Source organism: Homo sapiens, chromosome 5, assembly GCF_000001405.40.
Source record: "Homo sapiens chromosome 5, GRCh38.p14 Primary Assembly".
NCBI lineage: Eukaryota > Metazoa > Chordata > Mammalia > Primates > Hominidae > Homo > Homo sapiens.
Genome location: NC_000005.10, coordinates 4134782 through 4161473, shown reverse-complemented (window position 1 = coordinate 4161473; position 26692 = coordinate 4134782). Strand labels below are relative to the sequence as shown.

General features: G+C 41.0%; 1 long non-coding RNA gene across 1 annotated transcript, besides 1 other annotated feature; it reads right to left on the bottom strand.

The window, feature by feature from the left end:
• Positions 1-7331: 7331 nt before the first annotated feature.
• On the bottom strand, positions 7332-25829 carry LINC02063 (long intergenic non-protein coding RNA 2063). Its single transcript, NR_183262.1, has 5 exons — positions 25629-25829; positions 17706-18227; positions 12123-12211; positions 8368-8459; positions 7332-7485 (listed from the first exon to the last, which is right to left on the bottom strand). It is a non-coding gene; the product is annotated as a long intergenic non-protein coding RNA 2063 (long non-coding RNA).
• Positions 14034-15233: an enhancer, noted in NCBI's record as "BRD4-independent group 4 enhancer chr5:4146354-4147553 (GRCh37/hg19 assembly coordinates)". NCBI's record gives its function as "activates an origin of replication core promoter dependent on BRD2, P300/CBP, MED14 and CDK7 cofactors, and independent of BRD4, by STARR-seq in HCT116 cells {active_cell/tissue: HCT116}" and the evidence as "EXISTENCE:reporter gene assay evidence [ECO:0000049][PMID:35650434]".
• Positions 25830-26692: the final 863 nt, after the last annotated feature.

Here is a 26692-nt window from a genome sequence, read left to right as displayed (position 1 = left end):
AGCCTCCCTCCCTTGTGTTTGCCAGACACTCAAAGGCAGGCAGAGGAGTGGGAAGGCCTCACAGTGAAAAAAGGAAAGGCTCTTGGCATGCCCTGACTGGAGGCTGCTGGCCTGGGGAAGCTGCACCTGCTGCTCACAACAAGTGGGGCATCTTATGAGATTGGCTAGGGGAGCATATTTTGGGTTCCTTTTGTTGGTGCTGAGCTGGAAGTAGGTTCAAAAAATAGAGAAGTTGGCCACTCTTGACTGAGTCCTGGCCACTCTAGGCTGAGGGCTGCAAAGGTTGTGCAGAATTTTGTCTTTGAATAGAGTCTGGCCATTGTTTGTTTGTATATTGTCCCCATTTGCAGCTGAAGTCTTCCCAATGATGTGACTTTTCTGCTTAAATTAACCACGTACTGTGACTTGAATAACTTTTCTTTACCTACATAAATTGAAATTAAATAAACATTCAGTAAACAATTTCTATTTGACTTTGATATAAGTAGAAAGATCTTTAATACTGCAAACAGGGCAACATCTCAGGAAAATAATGTTCAGGGCTAGTTGTGTTGTGAGGGTGTTGTCTATTGGGGAAGAAGAATTCTGAAGCTGAGCATATTGAGATACAGTAATCTATGGGTCTCCAGTATTCCTATTGAACTTGCATAAGACAACTACTAAGAGAGAGGAGATGTATTATGAACATAAAACTAAATAATTTAAGATAGTAAGAACTGGTTTTGAGTTTCTGGATGGTTTTGGTGGCCTGTGTCACCAGTTAACCTCATGGTATAAAGAAGAATGATGGGTCAATGATCCAATGATGGAAAAAGTAGGAAACCTCTTTTCTCAGAGATTTGATGCTCAGAAAGAAAAAAAATATGGTCTCCACAGGAGCAGAAGAAAAAACCTTGTCATCCAGGGATCTAGAATATCGGTTAGCTTGAGGAAGTAGAGAAAAAGCACTGTACCTGAAAAAGAGATGTGTCTGATTTCCTATCCTGGGTCAGAAATTCCACAAGGCCCAGCAAGACAGTTCCTGGTAAGCACAGCATTAGCTGGGGTAGGCAGTTGGGCTGCCCCATCACAAGGCAGATATGACATTGATGTAGGGTTACAGGCTGGGGTGAGGGTAACAGAAAAAAAATAGAAGAAAGCATTTGTTTCTTATACATAAAGAAGTTAAGGAGTGACAGAGTGGGTACAGTGGAGTACATAGACCAGCAAAACATCCAGAAATCTATGCCCCTAGGTCTCATGGCAAGAGCAATGGTCGCCATTTTCCATACTGTCTCTCTCATTTGTTGCTGAAGCAAACTGGAAACTTCTACTGGAATGAACTTGAAAGTGAACAAAAGGATGGGTAAGAAACAAGATTTACTCTGTAATTCCCACAAAGTGGAGAGGTATTTGGAAATAAACATCCATTCTCCACCATACATTATTTGTTTTGACTTGAATACTTGCTTAAAATTGTGTTAACAACTGACAAACCGTGACCACACCTGTCATCTCTCATGACTCCCACAGTGGCCCTACATTGTAGAGGGGACCGTGGATGAAATGTGAAATGCCTCTTTATAAAGCAAGAAAGTGGCAGTATCCAGATTTGACCAGACGTGACCACAAATATTCTGTTTCTGAGACCAGTGCTCCTTTGACTAAAGATTGTGCAATTCAGTCCTGCTTCCTCAGGGATTCGCAGGCACTCTAACAGGAAGAGGACAAAGAGAATTATTATGTTATGTCACATTTATACATTTTACCTAGGTGTCCTGCATTCCTGATGCAAAAATGGCTTGCGAATACTTTCCAAGTGAAAACAAAAAAAGGTATCTACGGTGGAAGTTCTTCAGCAATTTCAACAGCCAAGCCTTGGAAATCAAGGACAGTATGTTTATCAGAAAATAAAGGTGAGGTTTTTTTTTCTTTTTCTTTTTTAGTATAATCCATTGACACTTGAATATTCTTATGTTCTTCTCTCTTTAAAGTTTAACATTAAGAACAACGATTAAAAGTATTATATTACACCCATTACATTTTAAGATTTTTCAATGACTGAAGTATTTTGGAGCTCGTTTTGTAAATTAAATATATTCTTTCTGGAAGTTGGTGTGTCAAAGAAAATAAAGGCAAAAAAAAAAAAAAAAAAAGAGAGACACATTAAAACCACAAGGGAACAACATGATTAAGACTGAAACATAGTGCAAATTTCATAGAATGCCTATATCACACATGACATCTACATGAATACCAAGTCACTTCTGTTTTGATTCATGTTGGTTCAATATGTACCAAACAAGTTAGTAACGCTTGGGATATTGTTTTAAAGTGGGAACAGAACAATGAATTTCAGTGAATGCCAGTTCTGTGGTATTTGATGATAATTGTGCATGTCCCTGTCTGCTTATGAAAAATTAGATAATTTCATCCAGGCTATCAGTAAATTTTCTTCTTCTACAATGCAACTGAAATGTCCCTGCCACTCTGTTCTCACAACCCATGAGAACCCTTGACTGGAATGGTTAGATGTCTTGAAACCTTGTAGAGTTCTCTGATTTGATAAGAACAAGAGTCATTGCATTCAAATCCCCAACTGGGTTTCAGGGTGCTTTACCAGAACCCCTTCACAATGTTTTCAACTCAGCAAGCAGAGACTTTCTATTTTGTTTCACATCTTCTTTACATTTTGTGCAGAATTAGGATTAAGAAGAGACTTCTTTGTTAAATACACGATGCAAGGTCAGTGTGTCTATCACACTGGCATTTAAGTGTCAGAACACACTTTATATTAAAATTCTAGACAACCAAGTAGAATAGCTTAGTGACAATATGTTTCCATGATGTGTCCTCTTTTTTCATTGAGTCTTTTATATTTAAAAAATATTTATTGGCTGGGCGCGGCGGCTCACGCCTGTAATCCCAGCACTCTGGGAGGTCGATGAAGGTGAATCACGAGGTCAGGAGATTGAGACCATCCTGACTAACACGGTGAAATCCCGTCTTTACTAAAAATACAAAAAAAAAAAAAATTAGCCAGGCATGGTGGTGGGCACCTGTAGTCCCAGCTACTCCGGAGGCTGAGGCAGGAGAATGGTGTGAACCCGGGAGGCGGAGCTTGCAGTAAGCTGAGATAGTGCCACTGCACTCCAGCCTGGGCGACAGAGCAAGACTCCGTCTCAAAAAAAAAAAAAAAAAAAAAAAAAATTGCGGTTTGCTGTGTTCCAGGCACTGTCTTAGGTGCTATGGATATAGCAGTCAATTATAATCAATGTGTTAGGCTTCTGCTTCCACTTGCAATGTAGAAAGGAGTAAAGAGTTCTGCTTCTGACTTAATAAGAGGAAGAAGCCAGGTGATCTATGCAGTCATATTTTTATCCAGGCCACAAGAGAGCTGATGTAACCAGGCAACCAAGGAAACAGAATACCAAAGAGAAAGAAATCCCTCCAAGTAGAGGCAAGCAAATGAACACTTGCACCAGGAAAGGGTGCAGGAGAAACAAGTGGCCCTATTAGAAGTAGATGTCAAGAAATTAGATAGCTTAAGAAAAATTCCTACAGATCCAGTGATGCACACTATGTTAGTTTGGAATAGCTGTGGGCTTCAGAAACAGGCAGAGTTCATACTCACATGTAACCATATTTCCCTGGGCTTCAATCATGGGCTCATAAGAAAAGTTAGGTGCAGGAAAGAATTGAGCGAGCAGCACAGACTTGCAGGAATTACTGGAGGCTGCTGGAGGATGAGCACAGAACTAAACCGGCTTCCCCAGATATTTTCTCCTACAAAGCAAGGCTTAAGTCACTAAGGTTGCACCAAACCCTCCTGCTTCCAGGACGTGAACAAAGGTCCACTTTTCCTTGTGGAAGGTATAAGCAAATATACCAGAGCAAAGAAGGAGCAATAATCAGTCTTGGGCCCTGCATCCTACACCAATACCAAGCACAGGACTACTACTGTTAGCAGGAGAAGCAGAAAACTCTTTCCCAAGAACAAGTGAAGGCACAAGTAAGATGTTAACTTCCATGGGAAATAGGTACAGCTGTGCTGAAAAAGCCACCCTCCACCCCCACCAAGGCTCAAGTGCATGAGGCCCACGTAAAACAGAAACTGGACTCAGCAAAGAGATACTCCTGTCCCCATCATAAGCCTAACACCAGGTATCAATCAAGAGCTGTTTGCCACTTTGAGAGGGGTGAGAACATGGATAGACCCCCACTCTCCACCCCACAGCAATGAAGTCCAGGACTGTCTGGATGCTAAGAGAGGAATCACTGAGTAAAACTATTTGTCACCTAATCTTCCACTGCAAGCTCAAAGTAACTACAACCTACTGCCAGTAGAATTCAAAACCTATGAGGCATCAAAGATAATGAAAAACACAACAAAACCTCACTCAGCTCAGCTCCTGGAAGATTGACTCAGCACCTTACACTGAGCCTGCCAGAAGAGACATGCCTGTTCCCAGCAACATATGAGTGACCACAGTCTCCATTCTTTCTTTTTCTAAACACAACATCTGCCATTGAATAAAATATATATATATAATTATATATATATATTAATTATATACAATATTATATATATTTTACATGGTCTATCTATCTATCTATCTATCTATCTATCTATCTATCTATCTAGGGCTTATATAAAGGGAAGAAAGCAACCCAAGGTCCAGAGATAAAGCAATTGAGAAACCAGAGTCAAACATCATGGGAGTAAAAACTATCATGCAGAGATGTTATAATAACTATAAATATTTAAAAAACTCCAGAAAGAAGGTGACAACATGTATAAGGAGATGGAAAATTTTACAGAGATAGAAACAATACAAATAAGTAAATTGACATGCTAGAAATAAAAGAAATCAGACATAAAGAGATTATTTGATGGCTTTATTAGTAAATTAGGAACAACTTAGGAAAATAAATATAGGTTAAAAGAAATTATACAAACCAATAGAGAAAAGAGAAAAAGAAAAGGTTAAAAAGAAGCCTAATATAATAAACTGTCAGACAATTTTAGCAGTCTAAAAGATGACAATTAAAAATGCAGAATGAGAAAAGGGAATGAAACAGGAGTGAGAGTGACCAAGAATTTTCCAAAATCAATGAAAGACATCAAACTACAAACCCAAGAAGCTCAGAGAACTCCAAGGAGGATTAAATACAATTATTTTAGAAAGCACTTAGACACCACCCGATCTACTGAAATCCAAAAACAAAGAAAAATAAAAAATGATGAAGACAGAAAGAAAACATATTACACAGAATAACAAAGACATACACAGCAACACAGTTTTCATCAGAAAATGCAAGATAAGAAAGAGGCAATAGAATGGCATCTTTAAAGTACTAAAAGACTTTTGAAAAAAAAATGGATTTATTTACCCAGAGGAAAATATCTCTTACAAATTAAGATTAAAAAATAAAATAAAATGAAAACCAAGAGAATTCAAGGCTGGCAGATATGTATCATAAAAAATGATAAAGATAGTTCATCAGGCAGAGAAATATCGACACCAGATATGAATTCAAATCTCTAGAAAAAATCACCAAAAATGCTAAATATGAATGTCAATGTACAATACGTATTTTTTTCAGAGAGAATTTACTTTATACAGTAAAAATATTAATTACATATTATAGATTTAAAGCATAAATAAAGCTATGACAAAATTGTACAAAGTATAGGAGTTAAGAATTGGAAGTATACCATTGTAAGAGTCTTACACTCTCTCTCTATATATATATAAACCATATATGTGTGTGTGTGTGTGTGTGTGTGTGTGTGTATTTGTATGTATGTATATATATATATATATGGTTAAAATATGATTTAGAGCAGATTGTTATAAGTCAAATATGTGTTTTACAAATTATATGGCAGGCTGGGTGTGGTGGCTCATGCCTGTAATCCCAGCACTTTGGGAGGCAGAGGCCGGCAGATCACCTGAGGTCAGGAGTTCGAGACCAGCCTAGCCAACACAGTGAAACCCTGTCTCTACTAAAAATATAAAAATTAGCAGGGCATGGTGGCACATGCCTGTAATTCCAGCTAGTCGGGAGGCTGAGGTAGGAGAATTGCTTGAACCTGGGAGGCAGAGGTTGCAGTGAGCTGAGATCGTGCCACTGCACTCCAGCCTGGGAGACAGGGTGAGACTCCATCTCAAAAAATAAAAACAAAAAAATAAAAAATTATAGGGAAACCAGTAAAATAGAAAGTTATAACAAATGAGCTAGTAAGCCAATAGTAAAAATTAAAATACAATAAGAAGAGAATGAAGCAGTGAGCAGGAAGCCAGGAGATAAGGCAAAGGCCTGGCGTAGCTATGACGGCATGAGCAGAGAGAGGGACAAGGGAGATCTGCATGTGGGCCGCCTGCAAGAGTGCCTAGGATGGGAGGCTGAGCAAGATTCGCTGGCCTTCAAGCTGCTACTGGGACTGCAGCATTGTTCCAGTTTGTGGAGGAGCAAACAGTGTATCTGAGCTCTAGCCCTAATGTCTGGCACAGGGACTGAGATGCTGTCTTCATGGGGAGTATCAGCTGAGCACAGCAGGATGCCTGGGCATCAGTGTCCAGGATGGCTGGCTGAAGTTACGGGACAGCTCAACTCCATGTCTCTAAAGAAGTGTTTGGGAACATTCTGGTAGAACAATTACTATTGTTACAACTTGGATTCAGGAGGCAAATACAACCTTAGCTTTCACAACCAATCAATCACTTAAATCATACCCTTCAGTTGAAATTGTCCAAGATCCTAGAGAATTTACAAAGTCCAGTCCAGAAGCAGGCCGCTTTTATATCTACAGTCAAGCAGAGGTAGCACTGGAATCTGATCTGTATGCGTCACCTTTGCTTGAAGTGACCAGGCCCCATTGTTGTAACAGTGTTAGGCTGTGCCATCCAAAAGGCAGGCAGTCTGCTCCTAAGCCTGGCTCACTGGTCCAGGTTGCTGCTCAATCCATCCAGTTTCTTTGATGTGGGGATGCTCCCTTGTATCTGTCCTCAGTGTGGGGGCTCTGTTTTCACCACCTCTTTACCCCATTGGTGAGGAAGGAATTTCCACCCTCTAGTTATGGAGATGGTAGAATACATGACTGGACAGGTGAGGTAGACCACACTTTAGTAGTTACTTATGCTCACAGTCTGAGGGAGGAGGACATCACACACCAGATGGGGCCACATGGAGACTGCATGTGGGAACAGAGTGAACAAACAGCATCTGTGGGAAGCTTTAAGAAGGTGGACTGGCCCCTGGTTCCCATGTGTCTTAGTCCATTTGGCCAGTGGTAACAAAATGCCATAAACTGGGTGGCTTGTAAACAACAAACATTTGTTTCTCACCGTTCTGGGGGCTGCAAAGTTCAAGATCCAGGCACTGGCAGATTCAATGTCTGGCAAGGGCACTCTTCCTGGTGGACAGATGGTGCCTTCTCACTGTGTTCTCCTGTGGTGGAAGGGGCTCTCTTAGCTCTCCGGGGCCTCTTTTCTAAGAGACCTAATATCATTTAAAAAAATTGAGAACATGACATTTATTGAAGGGAAATTCCCAATAAATTTGTACATTTCTTGAGACAAAGCACTTTGAAATCATTCCCTCCACCCATAATAAAGTAAAACTCTAAGGGGATATAAAATGGATGCTTTCTTTTATAACGAACCAGACAATGACCTAATTTTTACTGTTTTCTATTGTCAGAAAGTTGAATTGCATGAGGTCCCTCTCCATTTCATCACCTACCAAGGCCAATCCTCCTAACACCATCAACTTGGGGGTGAGGATTTCAACACATGAAGTTGGGGAGAAACACACATTCAGACCATCACACTGGAGGAAGATGTCATTGGCTTGTTGGAATCATTCTGTGGGTGGGCAAGAATGTGAGACCCACCACTCAAGGATAAACAGGAATGTACCTGGTGCCCTTGATAAGGAGGGTTGTTGGGCAAGAAGACTTTATCTACTGAAGCAAATGGGGAAGATAACTTGTTGTTAGAAATAGTGATATCAGTTGTATCAGGTTTCAAGCTGGCTCATAATATTGGCCTTTAATTTTCACCCTCACACTACAGGCTCCCAAGGTTTCAGGAGTCACAGCCCACCCCAGGGACATTGAGTTAGGAGTAAGTCTTACATTTGCCATCTTAGTGACACAGAGTTAGCATCTCCCTTCCTTCTCTTTGCCAATTACAACTTAAGTCTTGGGCAGAGATTCTTCTAAAATTTAAAAACCAAATTAAATTTAAAAAATTCAAAATTTAAAAAACAAATTCTGATGATATTCTCTTCCTTAAATCATGTGACTCTGTCCATTATTCTCAGTAAGTTTAGGGTGCCGTCCGCTCATCCTTCTTGCCTCACCATCATCAACCCCCTTACCTGAAAAGCCCTCAAGTGATACCAAGAGGTGCACACCTCTCCTCTGATGTTGCCAGATCCAAAGACTAAATGAAGATTTCTGGCATCTCTCACTAGAGAAGAGAAATAATAAAAATGTAACCACAGCAGGTCATCTCATTACAAAAGATTCCCACTTACTAATGAATAAATAGTATCATCAAGAGAGGAAGTGGCTGGGCACGGCGGCTCACACCTGTAATCCCAGCACTTTGGGAGGCTGAGGATCACGAGGTTAGGAGTTTGAGACCAGCCTGGCCAATATGGGGAAACCCCATCTCTACTAAAAATACAAAAATTAGCTGAGCATGGTGGCATGTGCCTGTAGTCCCAGCTACTCGGGAGTGTGAGGCAGAAGAATCACTTGAACCCAGGAGGCAGAGGTTGCAGTATTGCATCACTGCACTCCAGCGTGGGCAACAGAGCCAGACTCCATCTCCCCACAAAAAAAAAAAAAAAAAAAAAAGGAAAAGGCATTTGCAATATCATCTGCTGTTAAAAGTTAAAGCCCCTGCAAGTTTTTTATTTTTCTACTATTGCAGCAAGTTTTGATATTTTTCTACTATTGCACCTGTCAGTGCAATAATTTACACATGCATAACTCATACAATATTATTGTTCTGTAAATTACCAGCTATGCATTACTGTGTAACATCTCATGCAAAAAAAAAAAAATCTTCATTTCAAACAACTCACTCATTTGCTTAGGAGTTTGGGCCTGGCAATTTGGTGTGGGCTTTGCTGGAGAATTTTGTTTTGATTTCACCTGAAGTGACATATCTGGTGTCTCACCTGAGACAAGTCACATCTCTGGTGTCTCACCTGAATCAAGGTGGCCTATGATGGCCTCACTCACCTGTCCAGGGTTGCTATTGCTTTTTAATTCACCAGCAGAATAGCTGGCGAATTCTCCAGCAGAATAGCCTGGGTTCTTTCTGGGGTGGCTTAATTAACAGAGCAAAAGATTTCAGGACTCTAACTTCCTATGTATAGCATTTACATAACATAATTTCCAAGATTCTAGAGGTCCAGACTAGATTCAAGGGTTGGTAAGATAGAGAGGCTCTACTTCTTCATGGGAGAAGCCAAATACTTGGGTGATACTTCATTTACTATGCTGAATGTCTAGAAATGAAGTTTTACAATGAGTAGGTAAAGAGTTATCTCATCCAAAGATGCAGTAGATATTCTAATGTAGTTGTTTAACTGGATATCCATAATCCATGAGCTCATTTCAAACTCAACAGTTTTTTTAAATTAAATGTTGATCTCTTCAAATATTTAACATAATATCTTAATAAATAAATCACTTTTGTCCTTATTCCACAAAGGGACCTATCACAGTTTTCTAGCTGGTTATGCTTTCATTTTTGTATTGCCCATTTCACAAGTACCTAAGTGCTTCATAAGCCAGAATAGAGTTAAACTCAGATTGATAGAAGCCCAACAACACCATTAAATCTTGGAGCCACATGGCCCCTTTCAGTAAGAGAGAACAGGACATTGTAGCTTTGAAAACTATGGATTCTGAGCCTGACACGTCTAATGAATCTGAAATTCATTAATGATCTTGATGTCATTCAACTACCATTTCTACTTCCTTATTGAAATGGGATGTAATGATGATAACATTACTGGTTGTTTGGAGGTTTAAATAAGATATTTATAAATAATCTCTCAACATATCAGGATTCTTTATTTCAGATGTTCTGATACTTCTGATAAACTCATACTGCAAGTCTACTTGTTTTGGAGGACTCTTCTCCTTAAGGGGGATTATTTTTATAACTGAAATTCTAAATCCCTTCTAATTCTCCTGATTTTACTTTAATCTCAGGAACAGATTTTGCCCCTGGAAGTAGAGTCTGATTGAAAGCACTACCAGGAAGATCCCTGAATTAGGAAGGGCTCCTGCTCTCCCTTCACCCCAAGTTGCAAAAATGATGGTGCTCTCAACCACCACCTAGAACTCAGGCTAAATTTGCTAAATAGAAGCAAATTTATGTGAATATATATTTATATATAATGTGAATATATGTAATATATGAGATACACACACACACACAAGTGTCCCTCAATATCCAAGGGACATTAGGTCTAGGATCTCCCACCTGTACCAAAATTCATGAATGCTCAAGTCCTTTATATAAAATGGTATAGTATTTGCACATAACCTGTTCATATCTTCCTACATACAGGTGCTTCAAATAATCTCTAGAGTACTTATAATACTGGAACCCATGGATATAGGGGGCTAACTGTGCATGTGTGTATACATATATATATATGTGTGTGTGTGTATGTGCATATATGTGTATATATATAGTGTGTGTATACTATATATATGTTTTAGAATTCTCCAGAAAAATGTAACTAATAGAAGATATAGATAAATAGATATTTAGAGATGTAGATAGATAGATAGATAGATAGATAGATAGATAGATAGACAGATCAGGAGAGAGTTAGCACTCATGATTCTGGAATCTGAGAAGTCCCAAGACAGGCCATCTGCAAACTGGAGAACCAAGGATGCCAGTGGTGTGGCTGAGTCCAAGTCTTAGGGCCCCAGGACCAGGAATGCTGATGGCATAACTCTCAGTCTGAGGCCTAAGGGCCTGAGAGGCTTCTGGTTCTAGTCCTAGAATCTGGAGGCTGAAGAACATGGAGTTTTGATGTCCAAGGGCAAGAGAAGATGGTTTCCCAGCTCCACAAGAGAGAGCAAAGTTTCCTCTCCTCCCCTCTGCCTTTTTGTTCTATTCCGGCCCTCAGCTGATTCATGGTGCCCACCCACCTTCGATGAGGGCAGATCTTCCTTACTCAGTGCACTGATTCAAATGCTAATCTCTTCTGGAAACGTCCACCTCTGGGACACAGCCAGAGACAATGCATTCCCAGATATCCAGATGTCTGGGTATTTCTTAACCCTTTCAATGTGACACCTAAAATCAACCATTACTGTATATGGCTACCATTTGTTTATCTGAAATTCAGAGAAGATATTAGCCTTAGAACTTTCTCAAATGTATTTTACTTGATTTTCCTTAGTCTGTCATTTGTTATCTCTCAAGCCTGTGTGAAAATCTGCTTCTTGCTTCTTACTTGATGCATGAAACTGGGATATTCATGAGTCAATTGAAAATCACTCATCCAAAGATATTTTTTTTTGTGGTCATACAATAGTGAACTTTGAGGGAAGAATAAATGTAATCCAAAAATAATTGGTACTAAAAATTGGTTAATTATCATAAAATGTAAGTAGTATATCAACCATATCTGCAACTTTATCTGTTGCATGCAATTTTATTTATGTAGAAAAACTATAAAAAAAGAATTAGACATCACACATAATCTCATCACCCCATGAAAACCATCTTAAAAATGTTGTGTATATCTCTCTAGGCATGTTTTCTATCCTCATTCTTTGCACATAATTGAACAATCAGAAATGAAGTCTAGAACAATTTTATTCCCCTTACAAATTACAATAGATGTGACAGAGTTATCAACCAAGCATCACTTTCTTTTTTTTGGGGAAACTCTTGTCCCCATAGCCAAGCTCTGGGCCAAGTATTTGAGGACCTGTCATTTACAGCCAGGCCTCTAGAAAGCTGCATTTTCAAGTCAGCAAATCATTTTTTTCCTTTCTGAAGAATAAGTGGCAAATTCATTTTGGTCTTGCATTTGGAAAATATTTTTGTTTGTTTGCTTATTCATCTATTACTAGGTGGTCTTACCTTTTGCTCCTAGGAGACATGATGAATCTGGCAGAATTTACTCAAAGATTCCAGTAGCACAAACCTAGATTATCTCCCCTGCTCTACGTCTGAGAAGAAGAAAGCCAGATTCAGTGTTTATAAACCATGCTTTATATTATTATTATTATTATTTTTTTAATCTTTTTTTTTCTTTTTTTATTATTATTATTATACTTTAAGTTTTAGGGTACATGTGCACATTGTGCAGGTTAGTTACATATGTATACATGTGCCATGCTGGTGCGCTGCACCCACTAACGTGTCATCTAGCATTAGGTATATCTCCCAATGCTATCCCTCCCCCCTCCCCCGACCCCACCACAGTCCCCAGAGTGTGATATTCCCCTTCCTGTGTCCATGTGATCTCATTGTTCAATTCCCACCTATGAGTGAGAATATGCGGTGTTTGTTTTTTTGTTCTTGCGATAATTTACTGAGAATGATGATTTCCAATTTCATCCATGTCCCTACAAAGGACATGAACTCATCATTTTTTATGGCTGCATAGTATTCCATGGTGTATATGTGCCACATTTTCTTAATCCAGTCTATCATTGTTGGACATTTGGGTTGGTTCCAAGTCTTTGCTATTGTGAATAGTGCCGCAATAAACATACGTGTGCATGTGTCTTTATAGCAGCATGATTTATAGTCCTTTGGGTATATACTCAGTAATGGGATGGCTGGGTCAAATGGTATTTCTAGTTCTAGATCCCTGAGGAATCGCCACACTGACTTCCACAATAAACCATGCTTTATATTATACCAAATAAACTTTTCAGTTAATTTTTTACCCACCTCTCTTTCTGTGAACAAACCTATAATGTATGTGATGCTGAGGAAATTTCTCAGATTCCTATCAAAAACTCACTATTACAAATATAGTAACTGGATTCTATCAAAAATATAGTAAAGGCCTAATTTTCATTACTTAAAGTGATGATGGACAAAATGAGTTTTAGGGATGACCATTTGCACTCAAGTTTGAAGGTGCTGAATGGGTGATCCATGCTGCCATACCTGGGCCTCTCCTGTGTTACACAGCTACACAGATTGAGGCTCCCTTGTGTGTAGTAAACAGGGCTGTGGACAAAGGTTTCCTTGCAAAGCTGAAGGGAGCATGGAATGAAGTGAAAAGTTCAAAGTGTGATGGATGAGCCGTCCCTGCTGAAGGTCACGCGGTTGCCAGCAAACTGAGGAGGACCATGGAGAATTAGCCACTTAAAATGTATGAACCAAAGTGGTAAAAAATTAGAATGACTTTGCTTTTTGAGTTCAGTTCCCAGGCTTCTATGGGGGCACCAGGTAGTTATTATTGGCCTGTGTGCTGGGGATGACAAGGACACACATCCCCCCAGAGCGATGTGAGCTCAGGCGAGAGGCTACGGGACGCATAGCTCCCCACAAGTTTTCTGTTGTCATTACTGTTGTCAGTATTGGTGTAACCAGAGCAAAAAACCAAACAAACAAAACCTAAAATGGCAAAATGGCAAATGGCAAAGAGAATCAGACAACATGCTGAAAAAGCCAAAAATGGTGATGATAATCTGGTCAGTGCCGGTGGCTTGGCAGTCAAAACATGCCATTCAGGATTTTTAAAAAGTGGATTATGATTGTGGATATGAGGATTCCTTTTGGAATAGGAAATCACCCAGATTCTGTATTAATTTGCGTATGTGCAATATGGGGCAAGTGTGGAATGGGAGCAGGTCTTCAGGGGTATGTGGAACTCCCGGGATTTTCACCTAGACCCTCCCCAAAGCATGATTACAAGATGTTCAGGATCTTCAACCACAGAGGGGAGGGTGGGAACTGTTGGAGACAGAGGCCTGACAGACATAGTTTATAATTATGCGGGGAGAACTGTCGTTAAAATACAAAAACAAAAATCCAAGGAAGAGTTGGTTTAGTGAAAGGATGATATTAATTTCTAACCAATGGGAAAGTGAGTAATAATGGCTCGGATGCAGAAGTAATTGCGTCTATGCATCGAGATGACACGGTCCTCATGAAGTAATTCCTCAACTTTTCTGAACTATTTTGATTGTAACAATTGCCCCCATATGCAGAACCAAGTGGAGGATTTCATGTGTGGAATACTCATGCTGAAGAAAACTAATAAGGAATGTTTGCAACTCAGCTGAAAGTTGGTTTTAATCGTTGACTGTCGTTGATTCTACGTTTAGCCCTTCCTGTCCAGCAAAGCCGCTGGTCTATGAAATGCTCTTTACCTTGAGTAATTCCAGTGAGGCCGAAAGATGTCCATAGTGTCCCATGAAAATTAGCTTGAGAAAAAAAGTTGCATCAAGAAATAACTGGAAAGCAATTGCAAGGGAGAATGCAAAGGAATCAGGAGTGAAGAGGAGAAACATGAATGGGAAGAGGTGCCCAGAAGAGACCAAGCCCCTGGTCTTTGAGTCACCGGCATTTCCTGTCGTACCTCGCAGTGGGCAGGTATTCTGTGTGTGCTCATCACACTGAAATGTGAGGAAGGACAAAATGTCAGTGGCTTCTCCCAGCTTCACAGGGTCTGTGGGTGGTGTGTAAAGTCCACCGTTACAAGTAAATGCCAGGTCATGAAGAGTGAGGCTGGACGTAAACTCTGGTTGTGACTTTTTCAGAGCTTCCACGTTCTTTCTGCAGGTCTGGAGCCACATGGACAGTTGTCACTGGGACTGTTTGAGTTCATGGTTTGCACTGCTTGAGCCAAGCAGGCACTACATATAAACAGAATTTCAGCATTTGAACTTCTCCTCTGTACCAGAAAAAACTTTTGTATGGTTCAAAAGACAACCTGGTTACAAACTGAGTGTAATTTTTATACAGGGAATACTGTATATATACAGGGAATAATATAATTAACACCACCGAAGTTTCTTGGAAATAGTAGGCACACTATGTTTACTAATATCTTCAAATTATCTTGTTCACTATAATATTTAAATTATAAATAATCATAACTAGCATGATTTTATATGTGCTATACACTTCCTAAAATATTTTGAGTACAAAATAATTATTTAAGAAATTTTCAATGATATTGGATATGTCATCCAATGACTTATAACACATGCATAACCATATTAAAATTTAGCATCCAATTTAAATGGTAATAAATTGAAGCAATGGAGGTGACAAATAAAAGACAAGGCACTCTCAGATGCTCAGGCAGAGTGTGGAACAGCCATCTCACAGGCGGTCACATAACCCTCACAGAGGACTGTAGACATAAACATCAGCTTGCAAATATGGCTGGTGGGCCATTTTCTGGGATTGGCCAAGTTCCCACTTAAAACAATAGAGCTGTTCATGCTTGCAATACCTGTGTAACATGATCTCTTTACCCATTTCCTTCTATATATTGATAACCTTATAATTAAAACAGCCATCCTGCAGTTTCAAGGTAAAGTAGGATGGAATCTTATTAGGATAAACCTCACTGAGTCACTGAAGAGTTTCACTGGCCCTAACATAAAGCAAAGGGGAAATTCGCAATGTGTGTATCTCAGGCATATGGTCACAACATGGGGACTGGGGAGGCCAAGGAAAGAAAGGATGAAAGACTGAGAACAATTTCAAATACCAAGAGAAATCCTTTTGGCTAAGAATAATGTACCTTCTGTGTCTTTCAAAAATTTCCATAACAGATGGACTGCTGGGCCTCCCTCCCCACAGAAAGTTAAAAACAGTAGGGCCGATTTCAATTATGCATTTGGATTTTGAGAAAATGGAGGAATCAGTCCTAACATTTCTAGCGTTAAATGAACAATGAAAGTAAGTCATCAGCTGAGATAAATTCAGCATTCCACATGCACACAAGAGTGTAGCACACAGAGCACAGTTAGTAAGTTATGCAGTCAGCATTGTCCATGTACACGAGAGCATGGCACACGGTACACACTTAGTAAGCTGTGCAGTCAGCATTCCATGTGCACACAAAACTGTGGCACACAGAACACACACAGTAAGCTGTGCCATCAGAATTCCACATGCACACAAGAGCGTGGCACACAGAACACACATAGTAAGCTGTGCAGTCAGCATTGTGCATACGCATGAGAGCATGGCACACAGTAGGCACTTAGTAAGCTGTGCGGTCAGCATTCCATGTACAAGCAAGAGCACGGCACATGGAACACAGTAAACTGTGCAGTCATCATTGTGCATGCACACAAGCGCGTGGCACACAGAACACACTTAGTACTCTGTGCAGTCAGCATTCCATGTGCACGCGAGAGTGTGGCAAACATAACACACAGAGTAAGTTGTGCCATCAGCATTCCACATGCACACAAGAGCGTCACACACAGAACACAGGTAGTAAGCTGTGCAGTCAGCATTCCACGTGCAGGCAAGAGTGTGGCACACAGAACATACGTAGTAAGCTGTGCGGTCAGCACTCTGCATGCACACAAGAGCACGGCACACAGAACACACGTAGTAAGCTGTGCAGTCATCATTGTGCACGCACATGAGAGCGTGGCACAAAGAACACATGTAGTAAGCTGTGCAGTCAGCATTCCACGTGCACACGAGAGCAGAGCACACAGTACACACTTAGTAAGCTGTGCCATCGGCATTGTGCATGTGCATGAGAGCACCGCACGTAGGACGCCCTTAGTAAGCTGTGCGGTCAGCATTCCACGTGCACATGAGAGCACAGCCCACAGAGCATACATAGTAAGCTATGCAGTCAGCATTCCACATGCACAGGAGAGTGGGGCACACAGAACACGTATAGTAAGCTATGCAGTCAGCATTCCGCATGCACACAAGTGTGTGGCATACCGAACACACTTAGTAAGCTGTGCCGTCAGAATTCCGCATGCATGTGAGAGCACGGAACACAGAACACACGTAGTAAGCTGTGCAGTCAGCATTCCATGCGCACACTAGAGCATGCCACACAGAACACACTTAGCTGTGTGGTCCACATTCCACGTGCACACGAGAGCACGGAACACAGAACACTTAGTAACTGTGCGGTCAGCATTCTGCATGCACACAAGAGCACGGCACACAGGACACAGTAAACTGTGCAGTTGGCATTCCAGGTGCACGCAAGAGCACGGCACACAGAACACATGTAGTAAGCTGTGCTTCTATGAATGTTGCTTGCATAGAATATCACGGCTTTGAGAGGACTTGGAAATGTATTTCTTCACTACAGTCACCTTTTCTTTCTTTTTTTTTTTTTTTTTTTTTTGTTTGAGACGGAGTCTTGCTCTGTCTCCCAGGCTGGAGTGCAGTGGCGCGATCTAGGCTCACTGCAAGCTCCGCCTCCCGGGTTGACGCCATTCTCCTGCCTCAGCCTCCGGAGTAGCTGAGACTACAGGCGCCTGCAACCACGCCAGGCTAATTTTTTGTATTTTTTTAGTAGAGACGGGGTTTCACCGTGTTAGCCAGGACGGTCTCGATCTCCTGACCTCGTGATCCGCCCGCCTCGGCCTCCCAAAGTGCTGGGATTACAGGCGTGAGCCACGGCGCCCGGCCTTCTTTTTCATTTTATGTAGTGTAATTGTGAGAATTGCAAGAAGTTGTAGGTGGATCTTTATAACTTACAGCTGAGCTTAGAAAGTCTGAGACACACTCTGGTCTCCTTCCCGCTCTCTCAGCATGAAGCAGATCAAAACTCAGCTCCTTGTGGGATGCGAGTGTGTTAACATTGGTTCAATTTTACAAATCTTTCTCCTTCTTTTTCCATCAAAAAGAAAGTGCCTTCCAATTAAGTCCACCTGACTGACCGAGTCTGCAACACATTTTCGGCAGGAGGAGCTGTCTTTTCAAGGAGGTTGTGCACTTTCCTTCTTTCCTTTCCTCTTCTTTTTTAATCTCAGTGGAGAAAATGAACATCACATGGTGGAGAACGGTCCATCACAACTCTGGTCTGCGGACGCCTCCCTTGCCCTGACACCCACGTAAGTTATTAAGTGCTTCCCTGCCTGCCAGGGTTGCAGGCGTAATTTTCACTGCGTTTCTGACTATCCTTTTCCAGATGCCGGTCGGAAGGCGCCGGGTAGGGGAGCCCACCTGCTCTCTCTGAACACTCATGGATTAGAATGCCATTGAGGAAACTCAGGACCCCTGAAGAATAAAGACAAGGCAAGAAGAAAAAAAAAATGAGTTTAATGTTTGGGGCAATTCTTTTCAGAATTATTTAGCTTGTGATCTTTATAAGTGTTTGGCAGTGGGGAGGAGCAGGGGAGTACTAGGCCGGGAGGCCGAGGCCGAGGTCTGTCTCCAAGGCCAGTACCACGTTTCAGGGCCTCTAGTGACCCTGGATCCTGGCCTGATGGCTACATAAGAAAGACAGTGCCCACATCAGGACAAACAGGGAACAGGAAATTTAGAAATGCGTATTAGGCTATCAACAGATCAGGTTTCTTTCTTCTTTTACTTAGCTCTCCCTTTCCCGGTTTTTGTTGCTTGTTGTTTTTCAAATTTTAATGCATCTCTTTTTCTTAAGACACTTGGGAAAATGTTTGATACAATGTCATTAATTCTGAGTGGTGGTGTTTATATCATTCTTTGAACTTTTCTGTACTTTATATTCTCCGAGTAAAAAAAGAAATTAAGTTAAATAATGCACCTGAAGGTGATTTAAAAACTGCAAGCAACCTGCAAAGGTAGAACCATTTGGCACAGGAAGAAGCGGAAAAGGAGGGTTTCTCCAAATCCCAGTCTGTTCAAAGAATCTAAGCACTAATCTCCCATAACCACCCCTGAAAAAAAAAATTCACCAGGTCTCAAATCCAAAGTTTAGGAAACATAAATCCTTGGGTTAAGAGGCTTGAAATAAGGAATTTCTGCATCTCATTGTAATGCAACCTCTCTTTTCTCATGTTGCTGCTGGTTGGCTTGCTACACGTACCTACTTAGATTGTCCTCTACTTTCATTATTTCTGAGAAACTTTTCTCAGTTCCAAAAATCATCTGTTTGGGAAATGACCTTGATGATATGCAGAATTCTATGATGAAAAGGGTGGCAATGGGCATGATTAATATGGCAGAGATAGTGGGATATCAGATAGCAATTACCTCTCTGTTCTAGTATTAAGTGTCCAAAAATTTAGAAAAACAATTCTTAATTTTTTACTGAATTCGGCACCCTCTTACCTCCAGTCACCCACACACAAAGTCACCTGAGGCTCACCAAACAACCTGAAGCGCAAGTCTGCAGCATATTAAGGGATAACCCAGGAAGAAGAATCCCTTTTATTAGGGACTCTTTTCTTTGTATACAATTTTAAGTTCTCTTTTCTTTGTATAAAATTTTATTTTAAGTTCTGGGGTGCATGTGCAGGATGTACAGGTTTGTTACAAAGGTAAACGTGTGCCGTGGTGGTCTGCTTCACCTATCGACCCTTCACCTAGGTATTAAGCCCAGCATGCATTAGCTACTTTTCCTGATGCTCTCTCTCCCCCTACCCCATCCCCAACAGGCCTCAGTGTGTGTTGTTCTCCTCCCTGTGCCCATATGTTCTCTCTGTTCAGCTTCTGCTTATAAGTGAAAACATGGCGGTGTTTGGTTTTCTGTTCCTGCATTTGTTTGCTGAGGATAATGGCTTCTAGCTCCATCCATGTGCCTGCAAAGGTCATAATCTCCTTCCTTTTTATGGCTGCATAGTATTCCATGGTGTATATATACCACATTCTCTTTATCCAGTCTGCCATTGGTGGGCATTTGAGTAGATTCCATGTCTTTGCTATTGTGAATAGTGCTGCAATGAATACACGTGTGCATGTATCTTTATAATATAATTATTTATATTCCTTTGGGTATATATCCAGTATTGGGATTGCTGGGTCAAATGGTATTTTTGGTTCTAGGTTTTTGAGGAATCACCACACTGTCTTCCACAATGGTTGAAATAATTTACTTTCCCACCAACAGTGTAAAAGCATTCCTATTATTCTGAAGCCTCGCCAGCATCTGTTGTTTCATGACTTTTTAATAATCGCCATTCTGATGGGCATGAGATGTGGTTTTGTGGTTTTGATTTGCATTTCTATAATGATCAGTGATGTTAACCTTTTTTCATATGTTTGTTGGCTGCATAAATGTCTTCTTTTGAGAAGTGTCTGTTTGTGTCCTTTGCTCACTTTTTAATGGGGTGGTTTGTTTTTTCTTGTAAATTTGTTTAAATTCCTTGTAGACTCTGGATATTAGACCTTTATCAGATGAATATATTGCAAAAATCTTCTCCCATACTGTAGGTTGTCTGTTCACTCTGATGATCCTTTCTTTTGCTGTGCAGAAGCTCTTTAGTTTAATCAGATCTCATTTGTCAATTTTTGCTTTTGTTGCAATTGCTTTTGATGTCTTCATCATGAAATCTTTGCCTGTTCCTATGTCCTGAATGGTATTGCCTACATTTTCTTCTACTGTTTTTATAGTTTTGGGTTTTACATGTAACTCTTTATTTTTAATTTTGCATAAGGTGTAAGTTATTTTTTGATATAGTTTGGCTGTGTCCCCACCCAAATTTCATCTTGAATTACAGTTTCCATAATCCCCACATGTCATGGGAGGGACCAGGTGGAGATAATTGAATCATGGGTGTGGTTTTCCCCATGCTGTTCTAGTGATGTTGAGTTAGTTCTCAAAAGAGCTGATGGTTTTATAAGAGGCCTCCCCACTCGCTGGTCACTCATTCTCTCTCTTGCCACCCTGTGAAGAGGTGCCTTCTACCATGATTGTAAGTTTCCTGAGGCCCCCCCAGCCATGCGGAACCGTGAGTCAATTAAACCTCTTTCCATTATAAATTACCCAGTCTCAGGTGTGCCTTAATTGGAAAAATGGGTCCAGTTTCAATTTTCTGCATATGGCTAGCCAGTTCTCCCAGCACCATTTATTAAATAGTAAATCCTTTTCCCATTGTTTATTTTTGCCAGGTTTGTCAAAGATTAGATGGTTGTAGATGTGCATTCTTCTTTCTGAGTTCTCTGTTCTGTTCCATTTGTCTATGTGTCTGTTCTTGTACCAGCACCATCCTGTTTTGTTTACTGTAGCCTTGTAGTATGTAGTTTGAAGTCTGATAGTGTGATGCCTTCTGCTTCGTTCTTCTGGCTTAGGACTGTCTTGGCTATTCAGGTTTTTTGTTGTTGTTGTTCCATATGAATTTTAAAACAGATCTTTCTAATTCTGTGAAGGAGGCAAATGTTAGTTTAACGGGAATAGAATTGACTTTATAAATTACTTTGAGCAGTATGGCCATTTTAACAACATTGATTCTTCTTATCCATGAGCATGGAATGTTGTTCCATTTGTTTGCATCCTCTCTGATTTCCTTGAGCAGTAGTTTGTAGTTCTCCTTGAAGATGTCCTTCACTTCCCTTGTTAGCTGTATCCCTAGGTATTTGATACTCTTTGTAGCAATTGTGAATGGGAGTTCATTCATGATTTGGTTCTCTGCTTTTCTATTGTTGACGTACAGGAATGCTTGTAATTTTTGCATATTGATTTTGTATTCTGACACTTTGCTGAAGTTGCTTACCAGCTTAAGAAGCTTTCGGGCTGAGATGATGGGGTTTTCTAGATACAAGATTATGTGATCTGAAAACAGACAATTTGACTTCCTCTCTTCCTGTTTGAATACCTTTATTTCTTTCTCTTGTCTGATTGCTCTGGCCAGAACTTTCAAAACTATGTTGACTAGGAATGGTTAGAAAGGGCATCCTTGTTGGTCTTTTGGCTAAGATCAGGTGTAGGACCTGTTCTTATCAGTTTATTATAATCACTTCTGAGATCACCCAGGAGGAATGTACTGTGCAGAGCTTTGCCACTTTCTTCCTGTGTGTCCTTGCTCATGTTATTTAACCTCTCCATGCTCAGTCTTCTGACAATTGGGTATAATAATAGCACTGACTTTATAGGATAATCCTAAGTATTGAATAAAAGAGTAAACCATAGTCATCAGGTGCAGTAATTTGAAGTAACCATTAAATCAATTTAGTTGTGTTTTGGTGGTAGTTGTTAGAAATCTGAAACAAAGCATCCCTCCATTTTGAAACTCTGTTTACAAGACAGTATATAAAAGATGACCTGTACAATGAAACATTATTCAGCCTTAAGAAGAAGGAAATCCTGCCCTTTGTGACAACATGAATGAACCTGGGGACATCAGGTTATGTGAAATAAGCCAGGCCCAAAAGACAAATACTGCATGTTCTCACTCATGGGTGGACTCTAAAAAAGTCAGGCTCAAAGAAGTAGGAAGTAGGCAGTGGTCATCAGGGCAGGAGGGCGAGGTGGCATTGAGAAGATGCAGGTCAAAGGGCAGTGGGCTTCAGAGAGATGGGTGGAATCCGTTCTGGAGATCCATCACGTACCCGGGTGACCATGTGAATAATAACATATACTTGAACATTGCGAAGAGACGGTACCTTAAGTGTTCTCATCACACACACAAAAAATGATTAAGTATTAAGTCATGAATATGTTAATTAGCTTGATTCGATCATTTCCTAAGGTATATATATTTCAAAACATCATGTTATACATCATAAATACATACAATTTTTATGTCAATTAAACCTTAATAAAGCTGACAAAGAAAATAAAATAATATGACCCTAACAAGATAAAGAAGGGAACAAAAAGTAAGGGGAGAAAGGAGGAGGGGAAGTAGAACGGGAGGGAGGCTTAGAAAAACAGCCGACGTCAATGTACATAACCGAATTAAGAAGAAATGAAGGTGGCCGGATGCGGTGGCTCATGACTGTAATCCCAGCACTTTGAGAGGCTGAGGCGGGTGGATCACCTGAGGTCAGGAGTTCAAGACCAGCCTGGCTAACATGGCAAAAACCAATCTCTACTAAAAATACAAAAAATTAGCCGGGCGTGGTGGCAGGCACCTGTAATTCCAGCTACTTAGGAAGCTGAGGCAGGAGAATTGCTTGAACCTGGGAGGCAGAGGTTGCAGTGAGCTGTGATCACACCATTGAACTGCAGCCTGGGTGACAGAGCAAGACTCTGTCTCAAAAAGAAAAAAATAATGAAATGAAGATATGCATGTCCCATGGCCCAGGTGTTCTGACTCTGGGCACGACAGGAGAGTCAGGAGTAAAGATGCTCCCCTGGTTTCATGTCTAGTGTCTGAGGGTCAGCAGGACAGCCTTCCCGAGGCAGGGCTGATGTGCAGTGCAAGCTTCAGCTCAGGGAATTCAGAAAGTCACACTCTTTTTATTTTAACCATGGGAGGAAACTTTCACTTATTAATACCAAGAAAACAGTTGAAAACGTTTAAACGGCTGAAATTCAAAACCTTTTGTCGCCTATCAAAAGCAGCCGTGGAGTGCTCAGACAGCAAACTTGACCTGGTGCCAAGGAGAGAAGTGTCTGAGACCTTTTTTTTTTATTCAAATTGGGCTTGAGAAGACATTCCTGCCCAACACATTTGGACATGAGTAATACGAAAAATCAGTGTGTAACTGTTCAGAGAAATATTTAAACATTATGTGATTACTAGGCAGTCGCTTAATTTGATGGAATGAGAAAATTAGTGGCCAACATTCTACAAACGTAGACTGACCTCATCATATTTTAGGACTTTTGTAAAGCTAAATAGAATACACAGCAGATAAAACAGATTCTCTGCTGTCTGGCAGCTGAAAATCTTCTTAGGGAGGCAGAAGTCAGCGCGGGTGACACTGCAGAGTATTGTGTATTACGATAAAGATACTTTCAAATTGTTGCCACAGGAGAGAAAAGGGTGAACATTTTCTTTTGCCTGTAGTGACCTGGAAGGAATTCCTGAAGAACACTGAATATCAACTAGACAGCAAATATTGGATATAATGAGTAAATAATTCCCCTGACATTTTTTCTGTTCCTCTTTACCCTGGAAATTGGATAGGGTTGAGAAATTGAATTACAGTGTAAAAGTCTTTGGAGTTAGAGAAGAAATCTGTGATGTGAGAAGTAAACACTCTCTAAGAGAGTTTTAAAAACGCAACACGTAGGGGGCGGTGATGTGGTACCCTGCAGCAAAGATCCCAGGAATCTGCATGTGGAATCCTCACACCTTCAGCATCTTCCATAACTTTTTTCCAGTGGACAAGGACATCCCAGATGCAGGAGATGGTCCAATCAGCAGTAGGAGAGAAATTATTTTGCTTATGGTGGTGCATTGGCTTTGCTGTGGCTGGAGTTATCAATTTAGGTAGGAAAATGGTCTGTGCTGTTCTAAAATAATTTTGTAGATTGTATTCTCTCAGCTTACTAAGAACTCATAGAGCTGTGATAGTGTTTATCATGTTAAACCTGTTGAATCAGGCATAGGTTTGCCTTACAGAACATAAACAGACTGATCAATAAGCCTGTCACCATGAACCTTATCCCTGAGAGTGGATGCAGACCCATGGTGCCCAGCTATGGAGCCTGTCTTGGTGCTTTACACAAATGGTTTAGCCTAAACCATCAGAAATGTGTAAAATGCACTACCTCCAATTAAGTAATACCTTAAAAAGTGATATCTTAGGTTCTCTTCCTTTCTTTTTTTTATTTTTCCAGTTCCATAACAGGCACAACAAAACTGCAGTTTCTATCAAAGGGGTGGATGGTAATTGAAAACTTGACCTCCAATCTCTCTGCAAAAATGGGCTACTCCATTCTCTCTGCAAAAGTGGGCAAAATCAGCCCATTGGTTGAGGTTGCAATGAGCCAAGATAATGCCACTGCTCTCCAGCCTTGGCAAAAGAGTGAGATCCTGTCTCAAAAAATAAATACACAAAATAAAAATAAAAAATAAAATAAGCTGCATTCACATAAGGCATGCACATACACACACGGATGCACACACACGTGCATTCTGGCTCTCATCACCCCACCCCAACATACACAAACACATGCGCACACTGTGCCAAGGCATATATAGATACCTTGGTAGTTAGCTCATCACCAACTTATCTTACAGTGTTACTGGATTGATGGGGATCACTTACTATTACCTCTTATCCTCAAGTAATGGGCACCAGAAATAAAACTACCACCTTAAACTTCGTGAAGTTATTGCTGGTGCAAAGGGGGTTTTGTCTCATGTGTAAACATCTGGCCATACTGGCTGTGGTTGGATATGGGACAGGGAAGGTGGCTTTGGGGTTCCTGCCTGCATCTCAGCCTCACCCACCACGCCCACCCTCAACCTGGGCCCAGCAGAGGAGGAGCACTGCACATCCTTTGACCCACAGGTGACTGGAGCATGGCTTTCCAAGGACCCTCTGGCCAACCCCCACGCTGCACAGATTCAGGCCTGCTCATCTCTTAAGACCAGCCAGCTCAGGCTTCAAGTGTTTCTGGAAGCATCCCTTCCCTTTCTCCCTCCCAGATCAGGGTGTTGATACCTGACTGATTTTCATGAGCTAGAGCTATGCTGGGTAAGCCCTGTGCACGTGTACTTTCCTCCCATGGAGACCCCACCAAACGCTCTATTGCCAGTCCCACTATACAGATGAGGACATTGAGGGGAAGAGGCATTAAGCTACCTGGGCAGAGCCCTGTGGCCGGCAGCTGGGAGAACCTGGATCCCTGCCACAACACTGTCTCCAGGGCTCACACTCCCAACGTCCCAACATGCCCCTGGCGGGTTTCTCCGAGGGGGATGTGGGCAACATCTGGCTTTCCTCACTGTGGTATTGTGTTGCAATCTCCTGCAGGGGTCATCTGGAGAGATGAGCTGGTTTATGGGGCAGCAGCTCCATACCTGGCTCACAATTGGCATTTGTTCAGCATCTGTGACATCATTCACTCTGTCTTGGGTCATGGGTCACCATTTCCTTCACCTCTCAGGTACATCTGCGTTTCGGTGTGCATTCTACCATTTATTTATTTTTATGTTTTTTTTTCCCCCAACTTTTATGTTTGGGGATACATGTGGAGGATGTGCAGGTTTGTTACATAGGTAAATGTGTGACATGGTGGTTCGCTGCATGGTTCATCCCATAACCCAGGTATTAATCCCAGCATCCACTAGCTATTCACCCTGATTCTCCCCCTCCTTCCATTTCCCACCCTCTGACAGGTCCCAGTGTGTGATGTTCCCTGCCATGTGTCCATGTGTTCTCAATGTTCAGCTCCCACTTATAAGTAAGAACATGTGGTGTTGGGGCTTCTGTTCCTGCATTAGTTTGCTAAGGATAATGGCCTCCAGCTCCATCCACGTTTCTGCAAAGATATGACCTTGTTCTTTTTATGGCTGCGTTGTATTCCATGGTGCATATGTATCGCATTTTCTTTATCTAGTCTATCATTGATGGGCATTTAGGTTGATTCTATGTCTCTACTATTGTGAATAGTGCTGCAATTAATATATGTGTGCATGTGTCTTTGTAATGGAATGATTTGTATTCCTTTAGGTATATACACAATAATGGGATTGCTGTGTCAAATAACTCTGTTTTTAGGTGTTTGAAGAATCACCACACTGTTTTCCACAATGGTTGAACTAATTTACACTCCAACCACAGTGTATAAGTGTTCCTTTTTCTCTGCAACCTCAGCAGCATTTATTATGTCTTGACTTTTTAATAGCCATTCGGACTGGTGTGAG